Source organism: Homo sapiens, chromosome 4 (genome assembly GCF_000001405.40).
Source record: "Homo sapiens chromosome 4, GRCh38.p14 Primary Assembly".
In the NCBI taxonomy this organism is placed as follows: domain Eukaryota; kingdom Metazoa; phylum Chordata; class Mammalia; order Primates; family Hominidae; genus Homo; species Homo sapiens.
In genome coordinates this window covers 76,421,870-76,445,212 of record NC_000004.12, presented here as the reverse complement: position 1 = coordinate 76,445,212, position 23,343 = coordinate 76,421,870, and the positions used below count along the sequence as shown (strand labels likewise).

Below are 23,343 nucleotides of genomic sequence, written 5' to 3'. Positions count from 1 at the left end.
GCATATGAGTTGCCTACCTATGCTGGATACCTACAAAGCACTATTGCATAGCTTATACTATGTTGGATACTTATAACAACTTCATTAGGTAAGAATGTTCCTTTTTTTTTTTTTTTTGAGACAATGTCTGGCTCTGTCACCTGGCTACAGTGCAGTAGCACAATCTTGGCTCACTGTAATCTCCACCTCCTGGGCTCAAGCGATCCTCCCACCTCAGCCTCCTGAGTAGCTGGGACCACAGGCATGCACCACCATGCCTGGCAAATTTTTGTATTTTTTGTAGAGACAGGGTTTTGCCATGTTGCCCAAGCTGGTTTTGAACTCCTGGACTCAAATGATCCACCTGACTCATCCTCCCAAAGTGCTAGGATTACAGGTGTGAGCCACCATGCCTGGTGCCTTTGAAAGATGAGAAAACTGGCCAGGCGTGGTGGCTCATGCCTGTAATCCCAGTACTTTGGGAGGCCGAAGCAGGCGGATCACGAAGTCAGGAGTTCAAGACCAGCCTGACCAATATGGTGAAACCCCATCTCTACTAAAAATACAAAAATTAGCCAGGCATGGGGCCCATGCCTGTAGTCCCAGCTACTTGGGAGGCTAAGGCAGGAGAATCGCTTGAACCCGGGAGGTGGAGGTTGCAGTGAGCCAAGATCATCGTGTCACTGCACTCCAGCCTGGGCGACAGAGCAAGACTCCGTCTCAAAAAAAAAAAAAAAAAAAAAAAAAAAGAAAGAAAGAGAGATGAGGAAACTGGAAACTGAGGTTCAAGAAGGCTGTTACTTGCCATGGTCACATAGCCAGTAAAAGCTAGGGTAGAAATAAAACTTGTTTATTCCCACTCAGAGCCCTATATTGTCTGGGATGTAAGCTTTTTTCTATGCTGGAAAACCTCACTTAAAATGAAAATATATATATACATATATACATATATATAACATAGAAATTACAAATATAAATTAATATACATGCACCAAAGAGCATTCAAAAATAAAGGTTTAGGCCAGGCGTGGTGGATCACTCCTGCAATCTCAGCACTTAGGGAGGTTGAGGTGGGCAGATCACTTGAGCTGAGGAGTTTGAGACCAGCCTGGGAAACATAGCAAAACCCCACCTCTACAAAAATTAGCCGGGTGTGGTGGTGTCCACCTTTAATCCCAGCTACTTGGGAGGCTGAGGTAAGAAGCTCACCCCAGGGAGGTCAAGGCTGCAATGAGCTGTGATCATGCCACTGCACTCTAGCCTAGGTGACAGAATGAAGTCTTGTCTCAAAATAAATAAATAATCTCATAAATCTCCAAGAAAAAAATACTGCTGAAAATGGAGAAGAAAACAAATAGATATTGAGGAATGAAAAAATGTAGTTGACATAAGTGCAAATTCAGGTTCAGATGCCCAGGACAGAGTGTTCTGTACATCGGTCTGCCAAATCAGGAAAGCTTCCTCTGAAGGCAGAAAAGAATCACTTCCATTCTACAAACCAAGATCCACAGCGTACCCATGTAGCCTTTGTGGAGAAAGTCATTAGAAGAGGGGGAGAAACAGTGCTTAGATTTAGTAGAGAATCTTTGCCTCATTTTGTTTCATTGAGAAGTGCCTGGGATGTCAGAGCACAAGAGATGGATGGACTCCTGGGATGAACCAAGTGGGAGAACAAGGACTCTGCACTGCAGCCCTTTGGATAAGATGTTCACTGTTTGGAACTACATCAAAGGGAGAGATGTGGAAGAGTCTGTCTATGGATTAGTTAAGATCCAGCATGTCCTTTGAGGTTTTGTTTTTTCAAAAATTGATAGAAAGTCTCTCATTATGCCTCTCCAATCACACTGTGGGCTCACTAAAATGAGATGAATATTTCTTAAAATAAATTGTGTCCCCTGCATAGAAGGCAAAGCCTTGGGAATCTATTAGCTGTGAAAGAAAGCAGAGTTCTTACTGATGCTAAGACCCATTTGGTACAGCATGTCAGCATGCTACTTGAATAAAAGTTATTTCCAACAACATTGATAGGAAATATCAAAATTAATTTGTACTAAAAAATGCGTAAGACTTTAACTAAAATAATAGTTAATTTTTAAAGGTTTAAAAGTTAAAGAAAAACATGAGTTTCCCTTTTTTCTCAATCTAATTCAATTCAACAGACATTTACCAAACATTACATATGTGCATATGAAAGACATGGTCAGACTGAGCCCAACTTAACCTGCTTGCCTTAGTTTTTAAACAGGTTTTTCTAGTAACCTGTGTGCACACTGGCCTAGGTAGCTTCTAACAAAGATTTTTAAGAATATCCTCTCTAATACTTATCTTCCTCTTTATTCATTCACATTTTCATTTTCATAATTGTTACGTATAGTTTAAGCACCACGAATAATAAAAAGAAAAGGAGGAAGGAAAGAAGGGAAGGGGAGAGAGAGAGAGAAAAGGAATCAATGAAGGGTCTTTAGCTTCTGGAAGGTAACAGTCTAACAGGGGAGCTAGGATTCATAGAAAAGTATAAAGGGTGGGGCCGGGCACGGTGACTCACGCCTGTAATCCCAGCACTTTGGGAGGCCGAGGTGGGCGGATCATAAGGTAAGGAGATCGAGACCATCCTGGCTAACACGGTGAAACCCTATCTCTACTAAAAATACAAAAAATTAGCCGTGCGTGGTGGCGGACGCCTATAGTCCCTGCTACTCAGGAGGCTGAGGCAGGAGAATGGCGTGAACCCGGGAGGTGGAGCTTACAGTGACCCGAGATCGCACCACTGCACTCCAGCCTGGGCGACAGAGCAAGACTCTGTCTCCAAAAAAAAAAAAAAAAAAAAAACTATAAAGGGCACAATCAGAGAAAGCAATTACTTCCTTACTAGCTGGGGCTTTACATACACACAGATACACACATACTCTCAATTTGCTAAGACTGAAACCATCTTGGCAACTTTTTTTGCATCTCAGTTTTCTCTCTGTGTACGAAGAAAGTTATTACATGATTGCTAATTTTCCTATAGCTGTACAATCCTGTAAGTCATTTAACATTTATTAAGCATTTGCTATGTGTAAATGAGAAAGATTTTGCTAAGAGAAGAAATATATACAGCATGAGTAAAACCCATCTGGCCTTAACGAGTACAATTTATTGGCAGGACGCCAAATGCAAACAACTACCTTTATAGGACCTTTATATACCTGTATAATAAAAAGCCACTGGGAAGCCGAGTGGGGTGGCTCACGCCTGTAATCTCGGAATTTTGGGAGGCCGAGGTAGGTACATCACTCGAGGTTGGGAGCTTGAGACCAGCCTCACCAACATAGAGAAACCCCGTCTCTACTAAAAATACAAAATTAACTGGGTGTGGTGGCGCATGCCTGTAATCCCAGCTACTTGGGAGGCTGAGGCAGGAGAATCGCTTGAACCCAGGAGGCAGAGGTTGCAGTGAGCCGAGATCGTGCCATTGCACTCCAGCCTGGGCAACAAGAGCGAAACTCTATCTCAAAAACAAAAAATAATAATTAAAATAAAAAATAAAGCCACTGGGGAGATAAGAGGAAAGAAGAATGAATGCAAAGGCAGGACAAAGATAGATTGAACAATAAGGGAAGAAACAAACTAGCTGAAGAGCAGCAGAGAGATGAGGCTACCCTAGTAGGAAGGGCAAAGGATGTTAAAGGAAAAAGCAAGAAAGGGAAAAAGTCAGAAAGGATTGGCTATTTTAAAAGGTCAGAATGACGAGCTGATCTAATGTGGTAGTTGGAAGGAGACGAAAAAGATGACTTTGGGTCCTCAACCAGATCCAGGTCTTGGGGAACTGCCTAAAAATCCATTTCAAATTGAACTCAGGGGCTGGGCGCGGTGGCTCACGCCTGTAATCCCAACACTTTGGGAGGCCGAGGTGGGTGGATCACGAGGTCAGGAGATCGAGTCCATCCTGGCTAACACGGCGAAACCCTGTCTCTACTAAAAATACAAAAAATTAGCCAGGCGTGTGGCAGGCGCCTGTAGTCCCAGCTACTTGGGAGTCTGAGGCAGGAGAATGGCGTGAACCCAGGAGGCGGAGCTTGCAGTGAGCCGAGATCGCGCCACTGCACTGCACTCCAGCCTGGGCGACAGAGTGAGACTCTGTCTCAAAAAAAAAAAAAAAAAAAAACAAATTGAACTCAGGACTGTGGCTGAAGAACTGGTAAAATGAGCCTTAAGCACCTCCCCCTCGCCTCCATAGATAAAGAATGGAAAGCTGTTGATGAAATAGAGTCAGTGAGTCAAGTCTTGGTGGACAAGGAGGCTAAGATTTGGATTGATAGAAAAAAGGTGGTGATATTACAGGTGGAGGAAGCAGTTTTGGAGAAGGAGAGGTGACAGTGTGGAAGATGGAACCAGCAAGATTTATAATGAGATGGCATAGAGATAGTCCAGCTAGAGCACAGATACCTTCCAGGGGAGTAGAAATCAGAAATATAAGCACTGATGGAGGAGTGCTTTGACCAGCACATTGCTGAGTGTTGATGATGTAAGAGACAAAAGAGACCAGGGCAGTGGCCTACCTTTAAATTCTGAAGTCCATGTTTGAAAAGCACAAAGAAATGCCTCTACAGGTGGAGACACCATGAATATATTTGCCAAGAACAGCAGGTGTCCCCTTATTTTATGGGTCTTGAACTACTTAAAGCAGTTGACTGAGCAGTAGTCAGACCTATTTTATGGAATCTTATTGGACTATGTATTTTTTAAAATTCCCCCGAATAGATTTAAAAACTTATATAATGAAATATCAATCCCATACTTCACTCAGATAATAGCTCTAGAATCTAGAGAGAGCCAAATGTTCAGTAGGCAATGGAGACTGAATGGCATAGGGTGTGAGGCGCATGGACTCTGGAACCAGAATGCATGAGTTCAAATCCTGACTGCATCACTTAGTAGCTATGAGAGCTTCAGCAAGTTACTCAAATTAATTCTGGGTGCGTGTCCCACATATAACATTGGGATAAGAGTGTTACCCTCTCTGTGAAGTTGTGGAAATTAAATGGGTGAACACGTAGATCTCTTGGAATAGAGCCTGGAACATCACAAACACTAAATAAGTACCGGCAGTTGCTGCTGTTGTTGTTTATTGTTGTTACTTGGCTTATGAGCCCTGGGAGCAGGTGCATCTCTTCTGCAGGTGGAACTGCTTTTCTGAGCCACAATACAGAGTAAGTGAATCATAATAAAATCATGCCACCAACTTCCTGGACTATTGAATTACCTGAGCATCCACTTACAATGACAATTTTTTAAAAGTTACCCTTTCTTTTTGAAGTTCACAGATTACAGAGGCGCTTTCCACAACCCCACCTTTCCTTTCCAAGGATATTAAATCCCAAAGAAAGCAATTCAAAAATGATTTATTCTATTGTTACCCTTTGTAGATCCTTTACGGCCATTCATTCTCCTGCCTCATTTATATCTAAAGAAAAATGATACTTCATTTATTATATTGCCATCCATAACCTGGCAGTTTATAGCTGCCTTGTATAATGTGTTTGTGCCTTTCATATGTGTGACTCAATGTGTACTATCCCTTCCCTTCCCCTACAATGGAGGGTCACCCTAACTTGGGAGAATAGTAGACATCTGGTTAGCAGTGTATGAGCTAATGTGCATTTTCTTTCATTGTCTTAGAGAGAAGATCTAGTATACGCATGATCAGCCACCACATTTCACTTTAGTCTCATCCCTGGTACTGCCTTAATTACATAGACTTCTACCAATGCTCAAATGCCTGGTGGTAGGCAAAATAATGCCCTGTCTCCCCTAAGATGTCTGCATTCTAATCCCTGAAACCTGTGAATATGTCAGGTTATTTAGTAAGGGTGAATTAAGGTTGCAAATACAATTAAGGCTATTAACCAGCTGATTTTAAAATAGAGAGATTATCCAGGATTATCCTGGTAGGTCCAAGGTACTCACAAGAGGCCTTAAAAGTGAAAGAGAGAGGCAGTCAGAGGTCAGCTGCAGGGTGAGAAGGACTCAACCTGCTGTTGCAGACTTTGAAGATGGAGGAAGGGGACCATGAGCCAGGGAATGTGGGCAGCCTCTAGAAGCTAGACAGGGCAAGAAAACACATCTTCCCCTAGAGCCTCCAGCAAGGAACACAGCCCTGCTGACACACTGACTTTAGCTCAGTGAGATCTGTGTGAGGTGTGTCACCTACAGAACTGTAAGTTGTGTTGTTTTTAAGCCATAAGTTTGTAGTAATTTGTTACAGCAGCAATAGGAAACTAATACATGCCCCACATGGAGGTCTGCCTGGCATCCTCATTGGTTCTGTTTGGTCTTTTGCTTATTAATTCAGTAAAAGTTATTGAGTGCCTACTCTGTGCCAGGCACTGTGCTAGATCCTGAAAATGCAAAATGAGTAAGACACAGCCATGCCCTTTCATATACTCAACAAACATTTGTGTACCTAGGCTCTGATTTAGATGTGATAGAGATGAAAAAAAAAAAATAGTCCCTGCCCTAAAAAGGCTCACAGACTTCTGAGAAGGCAATCAACGAAATAAAATTTTATGATTCAATGTAATACATGCATAATATGGAAGTGTAGAAGGGAGACCACGGAACTCAACTTGGGTGACATCAGGAAAACCTCAGAGAGAAGAAGAAATGGAGCTTTAAAGAGTTTGCCAGACAGACAACATGGGGGAAGATGTTCAAGAGCTTCGGAACAGTACGACTCTTGGAATGCAACAAGTGCAAATGAGGAACATTTAAACAGAGTTTAAAATTTTTTACTTCATTTTAGTTACCTTTAATTGAAATAGAAATAGTCACATGTGACTGTGGGCCACCATATTGGACAGAGCACATTGGACCAGATTGGATCCTTGAAAGAAAGGAGATTGCCTTCTCTTTTCCCTCTTCCCTGCTTCTTACTGACTGGAAAGCAGATGTGGTGGCAAGTCACTTGGACCATGAAGATGAGATATCACTCCAGGATGGAAGTAAGAAAATAGAAGGAACTTGGGTCCCTGACATCATAGAGCCATCTTTTGGTTTGGCTTATGCTCAGACTGTTATGTCAGAGAAATAAATTCCTATATTATTGTTATTTTGGATCTTTTTACAGCAGCCAGACCTGTCTCCTACTACACATGTCTGCTAGAATAATGAAAAGCAATAATCATAATCTTTGCTCCTTCTGTGTACTAGACACTAACCTAAATGCATGGTTGCATTTAAACACAACCCATTAAAGTAGATAGTAGGATAGCCCCATTCTGCAGGTAAAATGGAGGCTTAGAGAAGCTGGCTCATTAGTGGGAGGATTAGACCTTTCTGTCAGCAAACTGTCAGATACTGTAGTGTATAGATACAGAATATTTTATCATTAAGGGACAGGCAAATTGTGTACAACTAGACTTTTTAAATGCCGAGACAATATTTATGTTCATTGCAGAATTATCTGTTATTCAGCAACCATGCCCTCTTTCTTCCTGCAAAAAGAACCTCAAATCATTCAAACAGTGGGCAATGATTCCTTGACTTCAGGAAGAGTAGGTCCTTATTGTAGAAACCTGTGAAAGAAATCCTAATCAGTCTGTATTAATCACTGGCATTTCTTACCAGTGATTGGCCTAAAGACAGGCACAGGGTACAGTTCTGGTTAATGAGATGAAAGCAAAGGTCTAATGAGAAACAAAAAGCCAAAAACCTGTCTGGAATGAAGATGCAATCAATGCTGGAGTTGTGGGATCCATCATGCAACCATGAAGACAAAGCCAACATCATAAGAATGGCAGAGTGGAGAGATAAGTGGGGTCCTTGATCACATTATTGAGCTGCTGCTCCCCTTGCCTGGAAAATCTACCTCCAAACTTCTTGTAATATGAGAAAAACAAACCCCAATTTACTGAGAGCCACTATAAACTCGGTTTTGAATTTTTTTCACAGGGGGAAGCCTTCCTAACTGACACACACATATGCACATCCTTTTGTTTTACTTAAGAAAGTTAAGGAAAAGTCATACAACTTATAATGGTGTCCCGTGCACTCGTGGCTTATCACTGTGAAACCCAGTTCTCCCTGGCTCATCCACAGTAAGAATTACTTCAGTAATTTGAAAAATAACCTTTTGGAATTATTTCTGGGGATATGAAAAGTAACCTGAACCAATAACAGAGCTCAAATGCAATCCATATTACCTTCTTCCCACCCTCAAATTAAAAATTTTTTCTCCCTTAATTACAAATGTTTCTTGATGAATGCACATGTGTGAAAAGCCATTATAATCTATTGTATCAGACTATTAAATACTCTAAAAATTTAAAAGCAATATTATAACAAGTAATGTTAATCTGTAGTTTAAGAGAAAAATAGAAATATTAACCCCAGTACATAAATATTTCATTGGTATGACTACCCACACCAAAAGATAAATGAAGAATTGAGGTATGCTGCAGGATGACTAAGGTTTAAAAAGGGATTCAAATATACAGATAAATAGGAGAGGCAGAAATGTTTTGATCTTGAGTTATGCTGAAAGCTGATTTAATTCTCCTTTCTGAGTGTGGGGAAAAAAAGCAACACATGGTATTTATGCAATCTATTATCCAGAATTATAAGCAAACTTAAAATATTTTTAGATGCTATTTTCAGTTGAAGAGAGAAAAAGCAGATATTTTTGAATGCACAAATATATACCATGCCACCATCTTAACCATGTTATTAATCTTTAATCTGATTTATAACTGAAAAGCTCATGTGGTAACTGATTGTATGCGATTTCATTCACAAAAAGAGAAGATTATCCATCAAACAGGCATATTTTTCTTCGGATTTCATAGAATAAATGAGCTAGACACATTTTTCTTTCAAATCCCAGGCTATCCAAAATATTTCTAGATAATCAGAAAGGCATGAAACAGCAAATTAAGTTATATTAAGGCAGTTCTCATTATTTTGCATTTTTGACAAATCTGACAAGTTGAAAAAAACAATTTGAATAAAGGCAATATTGGAAAAAGAAACATACCTTAGAGATGATTAATGGTTCTCCGTGCTCCAGGCCACCCTTTAGAGTAAAACCCCAGGGAGCTCCTCCCTCCAGGAATGCCTCCAGATAAATGTACCTTCCCTTGGTGGCCGTGTTAGAGTTTAATGTGGCACTAGGCTTGTGGAAGTCTTCAGTGGTCCTCATCATGCCAAACACATGATCCCTCAAGTTAAATTTAAAATGCCTGAAGCAAACTCAGGCAAGCAGTGCTTCTACAGCACAAGTTGTCCCATCCTTCAGGACACACAATGGCCAAAAGAGAGGTTTGGAGAAGCAAATTCTTCCATACGTAAAATGTTCTTCCAAGCTGAACTCCAAGATGCTGAACCAGAAGGAATTTTCACTTCAACATTTCTGAATGTAAATCCTCCTCCAGGAATTCTGGGTTCTCACTGAAGCCCCCAAGTGGTATACATCTCTACTCCGTTCGTCAAAACTTCCTTCAGTGGCGCTCTGAAGATTGCTTTTCTGAGCTTTTATTTCACACATACACACACTAAAACCATTTCTGCCTATTTTACAGAGAAAATTAAAAGCATCTTACAATATAGTAAGAAAATCACAAATACTCAAAGGAATACCTCATTTTTGATTGATTATCAACCCTTTCTTCCTCTCGGAGTGAAATTTACCATTACAATAGCCTCCTCCCTCCCCAGAAGTAGCTTAAAAAGAAAGAAAGCACTTACTATGCTTCGGCTCACTTCAGAATTTTCTAACTTGTCCCGAAGAGACAGAGAAGCTGTGCTAAAACTTTTTACTTCTTTTTTTCAACAATCAGTTCATAGTTTGTTTCTTAGGAGAGAAAAAAACTTTTGCAGGATGTAGAGAAAATGAAAAAGCACGGTAAATTAATCCTCAATGGAAAAAATATGAAGGAGGCAGCTCAGTTCTTTTCTTTGGTATTTTCAGTGATGATCAGCCACTGCTGCGGCCGCCACAGCCACTTGCCTCCTCTTGAGAGAAAGAGTAAGGAAGTTAGAGGAACATGGATTAAGGCAAAGTGAGGCATTGCAACCTTTCTGCACAGTAAGCACTGCCATGCAGAATTCAGCTCACCACAAAGACCTGACAATTCAAACAGTCTTACAGTTAATAACACGTAGGAAGTTAAAAATACTATACAGATGGCTAATTGCCAAGGGATAGAAAATAGTTCCTAGAATAGCCCCGCCTCGTACCAATTAAAGGAGAATTTCAGGGAGTGAGACATAGGCATTTGTGTTTTTAAAAACCCTCCAGGCAATTCTGCTATGCAGCCAAGTTTGAGAAGCAATGCCTAAGTGATTTGGGTAAACGTTTAAGTACATGTCAAGGTGGTGGCACAAGGGCTTTTTTTTTTTCGTTAGAAGAAAATACTACCAGTGTAATATATGAAATGGGACTTTCCAATCAAAGTTCTGCTTGTTTGACTCAATAAAAACAGGAGGTGGGTTTTTTTTTCTAGGTTTTCATTGTTATCTACTCCAAGATTGTTATCCACTCTTTAAATGAAAAGAAATCTACAATGCCTTGTGGGTAAGTACTAGGTACTCGGGAAAGAATGTTGTTCTGATTTCATGTTACCAGTGTCATTTTGTAATAATGTTATATACAAATTTAACATTCATGCTTTGTATTAAAAATTTGAACAGTAGAAGATAACCATATCTAACCCAGAAGCCTCAGCTATTTAGTTATTGGAACAGATTAGAATTACTTCCAGGTAATATATGTACTAAAACTTTTTTCTGTTTAAAAGTATGGGATAATGAGAATTAAGTTGAAAACTGAAGTTAAAAACTACTGTGGGGCTTGATAACAATTATTTTGGTGTTTGTACTTATAATTAATGAAAGGCTGATATGGAAAGGCAGGTATATGATATCAAACTACACGATATTTAATTTACAACACTGGACAGGTATTGTTTGATTTTCAATGGTAACTTCACTTGAAGGGCTCAAAGACAAAAAAAAAAAAAAAAAAGTAAAACCTTATGTAATGGTAGTATGTGAATGGAAACATAAGGAAACCTAAGGTGTACCAAATGAAAGTATGTGGTAAAAATTGGCTGATTCTTAAGGGTAATTTACGCAATTTCTATTGTGGTTTTCTTTTACAGCTTAATTTGTAAGTTAGAATAAATGGAGAAACATTAGCTTTTCTTTCATTTCAAAGAACATATGTATTTTAAATAAAAGTCCTAGGTAAATGAACAGCTTTCTTTCTGAAAAAATTAATTTATGAGGCTCTTATTATGTTACTCCTAATACATTTTGTAAAAACTGGGATTTTACAGAATCCACATTTAATATTAAAAGTAACATAGCTATACAAAATTTCAGTTAGGAGGCATAAGCTCAAGAGATCTATTGTACAGCATGATGACCATAGTTATAACAATGTATTGTATATTTGGAAATTGCTAAGATTAGATTTTAAGTGCTCTCACCACAAAAAAAATTAGTATGTGAGGTAATAGGTTAATTCCTTGATTTAGCCATTTTACAATGCATACTTATATCAAAACATCATGTGGTACACCATAAGTATATATAATTTTTAGTTGTCAATTTAAAAAATAATAAACAAAAAAAGTAATGAAGCTAAAGGCAAAGGAAATAAGGAAAAGATAATATGAACCCAGTGCTTGCAGACTGATGAAATCTCCATTTTAGATTATCACCAAAAATATTGAAGAAACAAACATAGAACCAAAATTGATATGTAATCTGAAAAAAAAATGTAAAACTTCATTTTGTGGACCTTCACTATAGCAGTTGATAGACCAGGTTTGGAAGAACTTTTTTCCTCCATCTTCTGTTGATCAGATTCAAAGAATGTTAAAGCTGCAAGAGACAATCCTCCCACACCCTTGATTTTAGAGGTAAGGACACAGAGGCCACCAGAAGGTTAAATGATCTGACCAGAGTAATCCTGCAAGCAACACAGGCAGGCATGAAATTTAAATCTTCAGACGTTTAGGAATGAAATCCTAGCTTAAGTCAGGTGTTCTGCATAGTTTACGGTGAAAAGACAACTTTCTTTTGGCATAGCACTGCTAATTCGTAAGAAGAACTTCTGTTAGGATATGTGATTTGGATGCAAACTCTTAATTACAGAATGCAATCAGACTCCTCCCCAAGAAGAGAAAGGCAACTCTATTGTCTCAAGGTGCTGACAGTGGAAAGAAAGGTTGGGATTCTAACTGAGAACAGCATAGGACTCAGGCTTTCTAATAGAGGACTTCTTTTATGCCCCATTCATCATCTTTCTAGGGAACCACTTCTTCCTCGATCCTGTGGTGCTGGTGGGCTGCCCCTGTCCCCGGCTCCAGGGTGGACGTAATGACCCAGGAATCAACCAACCCCTGGCTCAAATGATTGATATGTGGATGGGCATGAGACTTAAGTGTGACCAATGTTATAACTAGAAATTTTACTAGTGCTGTCAAAAAATGGCATTTTCTCCTATGGTTTGCTAGGTTGGTAGATAAAATTTTTGAGTTGCTGGAAGTCTTTTTTTATTTTTTATTTTTTTTTTAATTGAGACAGAGTCTAGCTTTGTCGCCCAGGCTGGAATGCAGGGTGTGATGGCGGCCTACTGTAGCCTCAATCTCCCAGGCTCAAGCAGTGCTCCCACCTCAGCCTCGCAAGTAGCTGAGACTACAGGTGCATGTCACCATGCCTGGCCAGTTTTAAAAATTGTTTTGTACAGACAGGGTCTCACTCTGTTGCCCAGGCTGATCTCAAACTCCTGGGCTCAAGTGATCCTTCCGCCTCAGCCTCCCAATGTGCTGAGATTACAAGTGTGAGCTGCCACGCCCCAGCTGGAAGTCATCTTTGATATCACACGCCTGAGAAGGAAACCAGCTCTGAGAAAAGCAGTCTATGATAAGGGGGAGACAGTTCTGGTGATACCATTGAGCCTTGTGCCCAATTGTACCTTACTGAAGCTGGCAATTCTCAAGCTTTTTGGTTTCAGGAACCCTTACATGCTTAAAAATTATTGAAGACTCCAGATAAATTTTATGTGTTTTGTATTGATCAATATTTACTATATTAGAAAATAGAAAAGAACATTTTAAAATACTTATGTATTAATTCATTTAAAAATAATAAATCTTTATATGTTAAAGTAACATATTAATATTTTTATGAAAAATAATTACATTGTCTCAAACAAAAAATATTACCAAGAAGAGTGGCACTGTTTCACATATTTGCAACTCTCTTTAATGGCCAGGTTAGTAGAAGATGGTTGGATTCTACCATCTGCTTCTGTATTCAATTTGTTCAATATCACATGGCATATAGCCACTGGAAGATTCCCCTATACATTTTTGAGAGAGCAAGTGGAAAAGGTACACAATGTCTTAGTATTATTACAAAAGCAGTTTTGACCCTGAAGACCCTTAACTTTCCAAGTTCCTATGGGATCATAAAACTGGTAATTGTAGGAGTGGGGTGGCTTTAGGCCACCATAAGCAGATGCAGCCAGGCCTAAAGCCACCCCACTCCTACAATTACCAGTTTTATGACCCCATAGGTACCTGTTTATTTTTTCCTTAAACCAGCGGGGGTTGAGTTTCTGCTTCTTGCAACTGAAAGAGTTCAGAGTAATACACAAGGAAACCCCTTCGTGGTTTTTCCTGGTTTGGGAGAAAGTTTAGAGAAGCTTAGCACAGTACCAAAAATGAAGCTTCACATTGTGTTTTTCTGTCTATTACTTCTCTCCTTCCTTCTGCCTCTAACTTAGAATTACTCCTGCTTTCTTGATCAGATTCTTCCCTTCATGACAAATAGATCCAATGTAGCTTACAACTTTATTTTCTGTCTCTATACGAAAAATTCCCACTGTGAGTTATTGAGCTCATATTGCTGTCATTGTGAATATGGCCCCAGAACAGAAAAATATATCAGTCATATTGACTCTACCACTTGTTTAGCATCCCTACACCAAACAGTCTGTTAAATGTCATCTTCCTAATCACTGTTTTGACTTTTTAGCAATCACACATCATTGTATTTGTTAACAGCACTGAAGGAAAAATTAAGTTGATCTTTTGAAAATTCCCATTTCTTGATTTTAATTTTTCTTAGTATGCCCTAATGTTTTTCTCTTTATTTTTTGCTAAAACTTTTAATGTGATTGTCAACTTATTGGATTTTTAAAAATGCTTCTAGATGGAATATTTAAGAGATTGAAAAGTCAGTAGGTTATCTCTGAAAATGAAATCAGAGCGACATCTACTGGCTATTCTGGCTCACTAATCGGTAAAGTAAATTAACTGTAGACAATAAATAGGGTTTTTTTTTTTTTTGAGACAGAGTCTCACTTTGTCACCCAGGCTGGAGTGCAATGGCGATCTCGGCTCGGCTCACTGCAACCTCTGCCTCCCGGGTTCAAGTGATTCTCCTGTCACAGCCTCTCGAGTAGCTGGGATTACAGGCACACACTGCCACACCTGACTACTTTTTTTTTGTATTTTAGTAGAGACGGGGTTTCACCCAGTCTGGCAATTCTCAAGCTTTTTGATTGAGACCAGACCAGGCTGGTCTTGACCTCCTCAGCTCAGGCAATCCACCCGCCTCGGCCTCCCAAAGTGCTAGGATTACAGGCGTGAGCCACCGCGCCCGGCCTAATAAATTGTTAAATTATAAGTTGGAAGTTTATTTAGTCTTTCTTAGAAGGCCTCAGAACAATCCTAAATAGACAAAAATCAATCTTATTTTAAAGTTTGTGCAATCTCTCTAGGCAGCCTTTCACAGGCAAAAAGAATCATGTCTTCATGTGTCTCCTTAAGATTGGGGATCAAAGCATGATGTCAGCTGATTTAAAACAAAACAAAACGAAAAAACACCGGGCACGGTGGTTCACACTTGTAATCTCAGCACTTTGGGAGGCTGAAGTGGGTGACTCCTGAAGTCAGGAGTTTGAGACCAGCCTGGCCAACATGGTGAAAACCTGTCTCTACTAAAAATACAAAAAATATTAGCCGGGTGGGGTGGTGCATGCCTGTAGTCCCAGCTACTCGAGAGGCTGAAGCAGAAGAATCGCTTGAACCTGGGAGGCAGAGGTTGCAGTGAGGGAGATGGCGCCACTGCACTCAAGCCTGGGTGACAGAGTGAGACTCTGTCTCAAAGAAAAAAGAAAAGAAAAGAAAAGAAAGATTGAGGAAAACTTTCCCAGCTGATCTTCCCTCATTTCTCAATGCCATGAAGTAGATCAAATGCTTCCTCTGAAAACAGTCACTTGGAAGAGGAATGAAAGCACAAAGATTAGATTTAAACTAATCAAGATCTACCTACTAGAACTTCCCCTGAAGCACAGGGCTCTGTAGAATGTTGTGTTCAACACTGGGGTTCTTGAGAAAGGAGGAAGTGGGGATAGATGCTGAATATGCAATTTACAGCATTTGCTTCACCAAATATCATAAGTTGGTGGCAGAACTATCAAAACACAATCAACTCAAATTATTTGGGAATGATCTAAATGCTCCATGTCTTGCTTGAAGCAGTAGTTTCACAGGTGCATATATGTATGCCGAAACTCATCACATGGTACACTTTAAATGTATACAGTTTATTGAATGGAAATTATAGCTCAATAAAATTAGTTTTTAAACAACTGAAGGACTTCATGGACAAATGAATAGGTAGCCCAAATGTAGAATATACATGCAATGAAATACTTTCCAGACTTAAAAATGAATGAAATCTGTGATCTAAATCCTTTTTTATTTAAAAAAATGAATGAAATTCTGATATATGCTGCAACATAGATGAACCCTGAAGACACTATGTTAAATAAGCCAGACACAAAAGGACAAATATTGTATGATTCCATTTATATGAGATACCTAGAGTAGTCAAACTGACAGAAAGCGAAAGTAGTATGGTGCTTTCAGGGGATGAGAGACGAGGGAATAAGGAGTTACTGTTTAATGGGTACAGAGCTTCAGTCTGGAAAAATGAAAAAGTTCTGGAGATGGATGGTGGTAATGGTTACATAACAATATGCCTATGTGAATGCCATGGAATTGTACGATTGAAAATAGTTAAAAAGATAAATTTTATCCTATGTATATTTTACCACAGTAAGTTTAAAAAGTGCTTATAAAAGGTAAAGAAATGTAAAACATGACACTATGATTAATTAGATCATTATTCATCACTTAATCATGGTAAGCATGGTTGTAGTGAAAAGTCAGAAAACTGCCAGATGCATAAAGATCCAAATAATAATAATATCTGATGGCACATACTTGATATTAGATCCCTGACAGAAGTCACAACTGTTATAGAAGTCACTGTAGTAGATTATTATTTAAAAACTGCTAGAATTATATCCGCAAACTTACACTATTTCTTCCTAAATAGAAGTAAAAGATCTTAATAAGAATACGGTGGCGGGCGCCTGTAATCCCAGCTACTTCAGGAGGCTGAGGCAGGAGAATCACTTGAACCTGGGAGGCGGAGGTTGCAGTGAGCCAAAATGGTGCCATTGCACTCCAGCCTGGGTGACAAGAGTGAAACTCTGTCAAAAAAAAGAAAGAAAGAATATATCTCAGCAAAAACAATGGTACTGAGATCTTAAACAAAAGATGGTTATGATAAAGGATTAGTTGGCTTCAAAGATGCTAATGACAATGATCTCAAAGGCAGAAACAAGGCCTAGAGGAGAACAGGCAATCTCCCTTTATTAGCTATCTGACTTCCATCTGTTACTTCTATCCCCTTTTTTCATCAGTCTGTAAAAGAGTTTGTCAATCAAAAAAAAAAAAAGACTTGTATTTGTAAAAACCCATATCAGTGTTGCGGGAGAGAACGACTGCCAAGGAACACAAGGAACTTTCTGGGGAGACAGAAATCTTGACCGAAGTGTTTCGTTACTGGGTATACACATTTCTCAAAACTCACCACTTAAAAGCACACTTAAATTCTCTCTCAGGCTGGGATATCATCTTCTCCTGCCCTGGGACAGGGCCTTTAAATTTAGACTAAATTACAACACCAGCTTTCCTGGGTCATCAGCTTGTAGAGGGCATGTCATGGAATTTAGCCTCCAAAATTGTGTGAGCCAATTCCTATAATAAATCCCCCTTCCCCATCTCTCTGTCTCTGTCTCTCTCTCTGTGTCTTTTTCTCTCTCTCCCCACTCTGTAATAAATACCCTCACCTCTGTCTCTCTCTCACTCAATTTATATATACATAAAATTGAGGGTTTTTCAGACCTTTGAAAGAAACAAACTACAGATTCAAAAAGCCCAATGAATTATAGACAGGACAGTAAAAATAATTACACACTAATACAACACAAAGAAAGAACTTACATATGTTTTCTTGCTTTATTCATCTGTTTATTTTTTGGTTGTTTACTCATTGATTTTCTTGTTATAAAACATGTACTTTGTTTGCTATTGAAGGTTTCCATCATGTTTATACCTCTGCTAATGTTATCTTTATTTAAGCATTCCAAAACAATCTGTGAATCAAAATTTATATGCTGCCAATTTGAATATTTTCCCTTCATAGAAAATAAATGGTTTATCTTACACTACTTCCATTTTCTAAGCCCATATCTAAAAAGGCATTTGGTGGTTTTATCTAGGATTGTAAACTATACCATTGTGATAACAATATAAATGATTTAATTAAAGATTGTTATTATTTATTTATTTTGAGACAGAGTCTCACTCTGACACCCAAGCTGGAGTGCAGTGGCGCAATTTTGGCTCACTGCAACCTCCACCTACTGGGTTCAAGCGATTCTCCTGCCTGAGTAACTGGGATTACAGGCACACGCCACCACGCCCAGCTTATTTTTTGTATTTTTGGTAGAGGTGGGGTTTCACCATGTTGGCCAGGCTGGTCTCGAACTCCTGACCTCAAGTGATCCACCTGCCTCAGCCTCCCAAAGTGCTGGGATTACAGGCGTGAGCCACTGCGCCCAGCCTGTTATTCTTCTTTTAAATTTTTATTTTTAAAAGAAAATAGAGACAGAGTCTCTCTATGTTGCCTGAGCTGGTCTCAAACTCCTAGCCTCAAGCAATCCTCCCGCTTCAGACTCCCAAAGTGTTGGGATTACAGGTGTGAGCCACTAGACCCGGCCAAGATTGTTGATCTTTAGCATTCTATTAAATATTTTGTCATCATATCGACAAGAAAAAAACTTTGATTTTTATGACTTCCACACACAAAAAGCACACTTAAAATGAATGAATTGGCCGGGCACAGTGGCTCATGCCTGTAATCCCAGCACTTCGGGAGGCTGAGGCGGGCAGATCACGAGGTCAGGAGATTGAGACCATCCTGGCTAATATGGGGAAACCCTGTCTCTAATAAAAGTAAAAAAAAAAAAAATTAGCCGGGCATGGTGGCGGGCACCTGTAGTCCCAGCTACTCGGGAAACTGAGGCAGGAGAATGGCATGAACCCGGGAGGCGGAGCTTGCAGTGAGCCAAGATCGCGCCACTGCACTCCAGCCTGGGCAACAGAGCGAGACTCAGTCTCAAAAAAAAAAATTGTATTGGAAATGAAGTATAACTCAAAAAAGTTGATTTTTAAAACCTCAATCAGCTCCAAATAATACAAACATTTCTACTCTTTAAATTAAGATGGCATATGAAAAGTTTCCTTTTAAAACTAATTCAAAAGTAGTCCCAAATTAGAAATTACTTACCCTGCCAAGATGTGTTCCCAGAAATACAATCACAATTCCTCCTGGAAATGCTGTTCCTCTGAGAGCCACATGGCTGCTCCCTGTCTCCTTCAAGGTTCTGCTCACACCTGGAGGGGCTCTTCTCTGCTCTATTTCCATACTGCAACAGCGAAACAGTAAAAGAACTAACATAACTAACTCCATTTTTTATTTAAGGGGATACCCATTCCTGCACATCGGTTAGGATAATTTTAGAGCACTAAGATACAATGCAAAAACTGCAATCATGTAGTCTTGGAAACTAACCCTAGGATTAAAGAAGAAGTATATAAACAACTATGTTTTGTTAAAGATTTACAGGAACAAGGAGGTTTGGCTATCGTTACATGAGAGAACGTTACCCAAGGACAAAGAAGTTTCACAGACTTCCCCTGGACCCTTGTTGGTGCCCAGATGTCTGCGGTTCCCTGTCACTTAAATATAAAAGACAAGGCAAAGCTCGCATAATTCTAAGATGGTTCTTTAGGACATTGGTCTGCTTCTTCTTGGTTTCCTGGCTCCCCAAAATAAAGTCGCTTTCCTTCCTCCACCTCCTTGTCTCTTGACTTATTGACGTGATGTGGCAAGAAGAACAAGTTTGGACTCAGTCACAATCCATCCCACACTTCCTCTTCTCCTTCCCTGCTTCCTTTGTCCCCATGGCATTTACCACCTTCTAGTGCATTAATTTTGTCACGGTGATTATTTATGATCCGTCCCCCACCACTGAAACGTAAGTTCCATGAGGGCAGGGTTTGGGTCCGTTTTGTTCACTGATGTTCCTGATACTCAGTTGGTGCTCAATAAATATTTGTTTATTGAACTCAAGCTTTCTAATTAGATATATTTCTCTCCTTGTGTCGCTGGTGGAGAGAAGAATGTCAGAACATTAACTACATGGTCTTTTAATATTTTATGCTCTATGTACTTGCATACTAATACTATGTATTAGAGATGACTTGCCACTTATCCCCTCCACCACAATATATATTGATGACTTCTATATGTCCAGCTCTGTACTGGGCACTGGGGAAAAGTCGTTGCCCAATAAAATGTACAACAGAAAGTTTTAAACCATAGTCAGGAAAGGAAAATATCTATCCCCCTAATCCAGGCTGCTCTGTAACTCTGCTTTAACACTGTATTTAGTTTTGAAGATCTTTGGCCAAAGAAAAGTTTCAAGGTCTAGATCATAAAGGAAACACAATGGTTAAAGTAATTTCATATAATCTACACCATATGCTAAATTAAAATATGTGGTTTTTCCTAAGTACCACCTGTTTACAAAGCTCGTTGTGTTGGCTGAACCAAGACTTTTTTTGAACTTAGCAAATTGTGAATTAAATTTTAAGTGACCCTGTATATGCATTATGTATATTATGTCTGAAGTACTTTTCTGACACAATTTTAACAAAAGTTTTTGTATTAAGATAAAGTTCTATGCTTTGATTTTATAAAATCATAGGGCTTTTTCTTGTTTTTTTTTTTTCTTCAGTTAGAAAAGCCCCTTCTGATATTTCTACATCTCACATTTTGCAGATGAAAATACTAACGCTTTGTAAGTTCAAATGGCTTGCCCAAGCTAGTGCCAAAGCTCAGATCAGGCCTGGGTTCCATGTTCCTGAGTCTTAACTGCATCCTCACAAACCCCAGCCACCATTTGGATTGACATTAGGAGGGACACAGGTTCCTTGAGGGCAGAAACTGGAGCTTCTTTGCATCTCCCCAGTACCCAGCACAGGGTCTAGTGCAGAGTAAGAACCAGTGAAGGGAGACACAACAACCTTGGACCTATGCATGGACTCTTACTAAAGAGCTCTCGGTGACTTGGGCCCTAAATGACCACAACGCCCCAACCTCTGCTTGTTCATCCACTCTGCTCAGTCCTCACTAGCCTCTGGGTTTTTTCAAACACACCAACCAAATGCCTGAAAAGCTCTGTCCCACAATAACCACACAGATCCCTTCCCCCAGCCCTACAAGTCTCTTTTGAATGTCACTTTATCAATGAGGCCTTTTCAAGACCTCACTATGAAACAGCAGCCCCACACTCCCTAACCTCCTACCTCTGTCTCCACAACACGTATCCCCATCTGGCATATTTGAACTTGTCTATTTGTGCATTGCTCATCTTCCTCTACAAGAATGTAAGCACTACTAGGGTAGGGACTGTATTTGTTCCCAGCTTTCTTTTTTTTTTTTTTTTTTCGATCTTTTTTTTTTTAATTGATCATTCTTGGGTGTTTCTCGCAGAGGGGGATTTGGCAGGGTCATCGGACAATAGTGGAGGGAAGGTCAGCAGATAACCAAGTGAACAAAGAAACAAGTGAACAAAGGTCTCTGGCTTTCCTAGGCAGAGGACCCTGCGGCCTTCCGCAGTGTTTGTGTCCCTGGGTACTTGAGATTAGGGAGTGGTGGTGACTCTTAACGAGCATGCTGCCTTCAAGCATCTGTTTAACAAAGCACATCTTGCACCGCCCTTAATCCATTTAACCCTGAGTGGACACAGCACATGTTTCAGAGAGCACAGGTTTGGGGGTAAGGTCACAGTTCAACAGGATCCCAAGGCAGAAGAATTTTTCTTAGTACAGAACAAAATGAAAAGTCTCCCATGTCTACTTCTTTCCACACAGACACGGCAACCATCCGATTTCTCAATCTTTTCCCCACCTTTCCCCCCTTTCTATTCCACAAAACCACCATTGTCATCATGGCCCGTTCTCAATGAGCTGTTGGGTACACCTCCCAGACGGGGTGGTGGCCAGGCAGAGGGGCTCCTCACTTCCCAGTAGGGGCGGCCGGGCAGAGGCGCCCCTCACCTCCCGGATGGGGTGGCTGGCCGGGCGGGGGGCTGACCCCCCCACCTCCCTCCCGGATGGGGCGGCTGGCCGGGCAGAGGGGCTGACCCCCACCTCCCTCCCGGACGGGGTGGCTGCCGGGCGGAGACGCTCCTCACTTCCCAGACGGGGTGGCTGCCGGGCGGAGGGGCTCCTCACTTCTCAGATGGGGCGGCTGCCAGGCGGAGGGGCTCCTCACTTCTCAGACGGGACAGTTGCCAGGCAGAGGGTCTCCTCACTTCTCAGACGGGGCAGCTGGGCAGAGATGCTCCTCACCTCCCAGACGGGGTCGCGGCCGGGCAGAGGCGCTCCTCACACCGCAGACGGGGCGGCGGGGCAAAGGCGCTCCCCACATCTCAGACGATGAGCGGCCGGGCAGAGACGCTCCTCGCTTCCTAGATGGGATGGCGGCCGGGAAGAGGCACTCCTCACTTTCCAGACTGGGCAGCCAGGCAGAGGGGCTCCTCACATCCCAGAAGATAGGCGGCCAGGCAGAGACGCTCCTCACTTCCCAGACGGGGTGGCGGCCGGGCAGAGGCAGCACTCTCCGCACTTTGGGAGGCCAAGGCAGGCGGCTGGGAGGTGGAGGTTGTAGCGAGCCGAGATCACGCCACTGCACTCCAGCCTGGGCACCATTGAGCACTGAGTGAACCAGACACCGTCTGCAATCCCGGCACCTCCGGAGGCCGAGGCTGGCGGATCACTCGCGGTTAGGAGCTGGAGACCAGCCCGGCCAGCACAGCGAAACCCCGTCTCCACCAGAAAAATACGAAAACCAGTCAGGCGTGGCGGCGCGCGCCTGCAATGGCAGGCACTCCGCAGGCTGAGGCAGGAGAATCAGGCAGGGAGGTTGCAGAGAGCCGACATGGCAGCAGTACAGTCCAGCTTCGGCTGGGCATCAGAGGGAGACCGTGGAAAGAGAGGGAGAGGGAGACCTTGGAGAGGGAAAAGGAGGGGGAGGGGGAGGGGGAGAGGGAGAGGGAGAGGGCCCCAGCTTTATTGTCACAACCTACACATAGCATGTTGTAGGTGCCCTATAAATATGGATGGAATGAATGAATGAATGGAAAAGGACTTTGGATCCCTTTCTTGATCTTTTAATTCTTTATTTAAAAAGCTAAGAAGCTGTTTTTAATACAATATTTAAAAAATGTTGTAAAACCGCAGGACACTTCAAAATGTGATGAATTTTATAGTAAAATCAGGGGCACATAACTTTTCGTACATATATGTGGGTGTAGATAATTTCATGCTACACTAATTAACACACCTTTTAATTAAAGACGTTGAAAAGAAAAAAACCTTTTTGTGTGTGTCCAGGGTACAAGCACAAAATGAGACACCAATGGAAACCATGTATTAGGTATGGAAAATTTTTATGTCATTGAACACTCATGTTTTGATAGAAAAAAGAAAAAATTAGAAATTGCTTTTTGTCCAACCACAAGACCTAAATTATTTACCTTTCTATGTAATACTTATGGTTTCACTTCCTGTTAAAAATGCTCGATTCTATAGCTAATCCTAGATCTCTATAAGCCAATAAATGGATTAACTACAAAGATATGATAAACAATCTTTAATGGCATTTAATCTATTTTTATTAAAATTTGTAGCTACATTATTTAATGTAAGACTTACTAATATTTCTAATCAACTTATACATAAAAAGTTATTTGCTGTAGGTGTCTGCACAATGTGATTGCTAGCAGAATTAAATGCCTCAGGCTGCATCTATCAGACACTGGCCTTTCTGGATGCGTTCCATTTGATCGATAATTTGGGCAGCAAAATCTGATAAATTCTATAT

At 40.7% G+C, this 23,343-nt stretch overlaps 1 protein-coding gene across 1 annotated transcript in view; it reads right to left on the bottom strand.

Annotated features, from left to right (window-relative positions):
- Positions 1–9,984, bottom strand: part of SHROOM3 (shroom family member 3) — a 348,025-nt gene extending 338,041 nt beyond the window's left edge. The window contains exon 1 of the mRNA NM_020859.4: positions 8,993–9,984. Within this exon, the coding sequence (NP_065910.3) occupies positions 8,993–9,160 (168 nt within the window). The 5' untranslated portion in view covers positions 9,161–9,984. The remainder of the gene's footprint in view (positions 1–8,992) is intronic.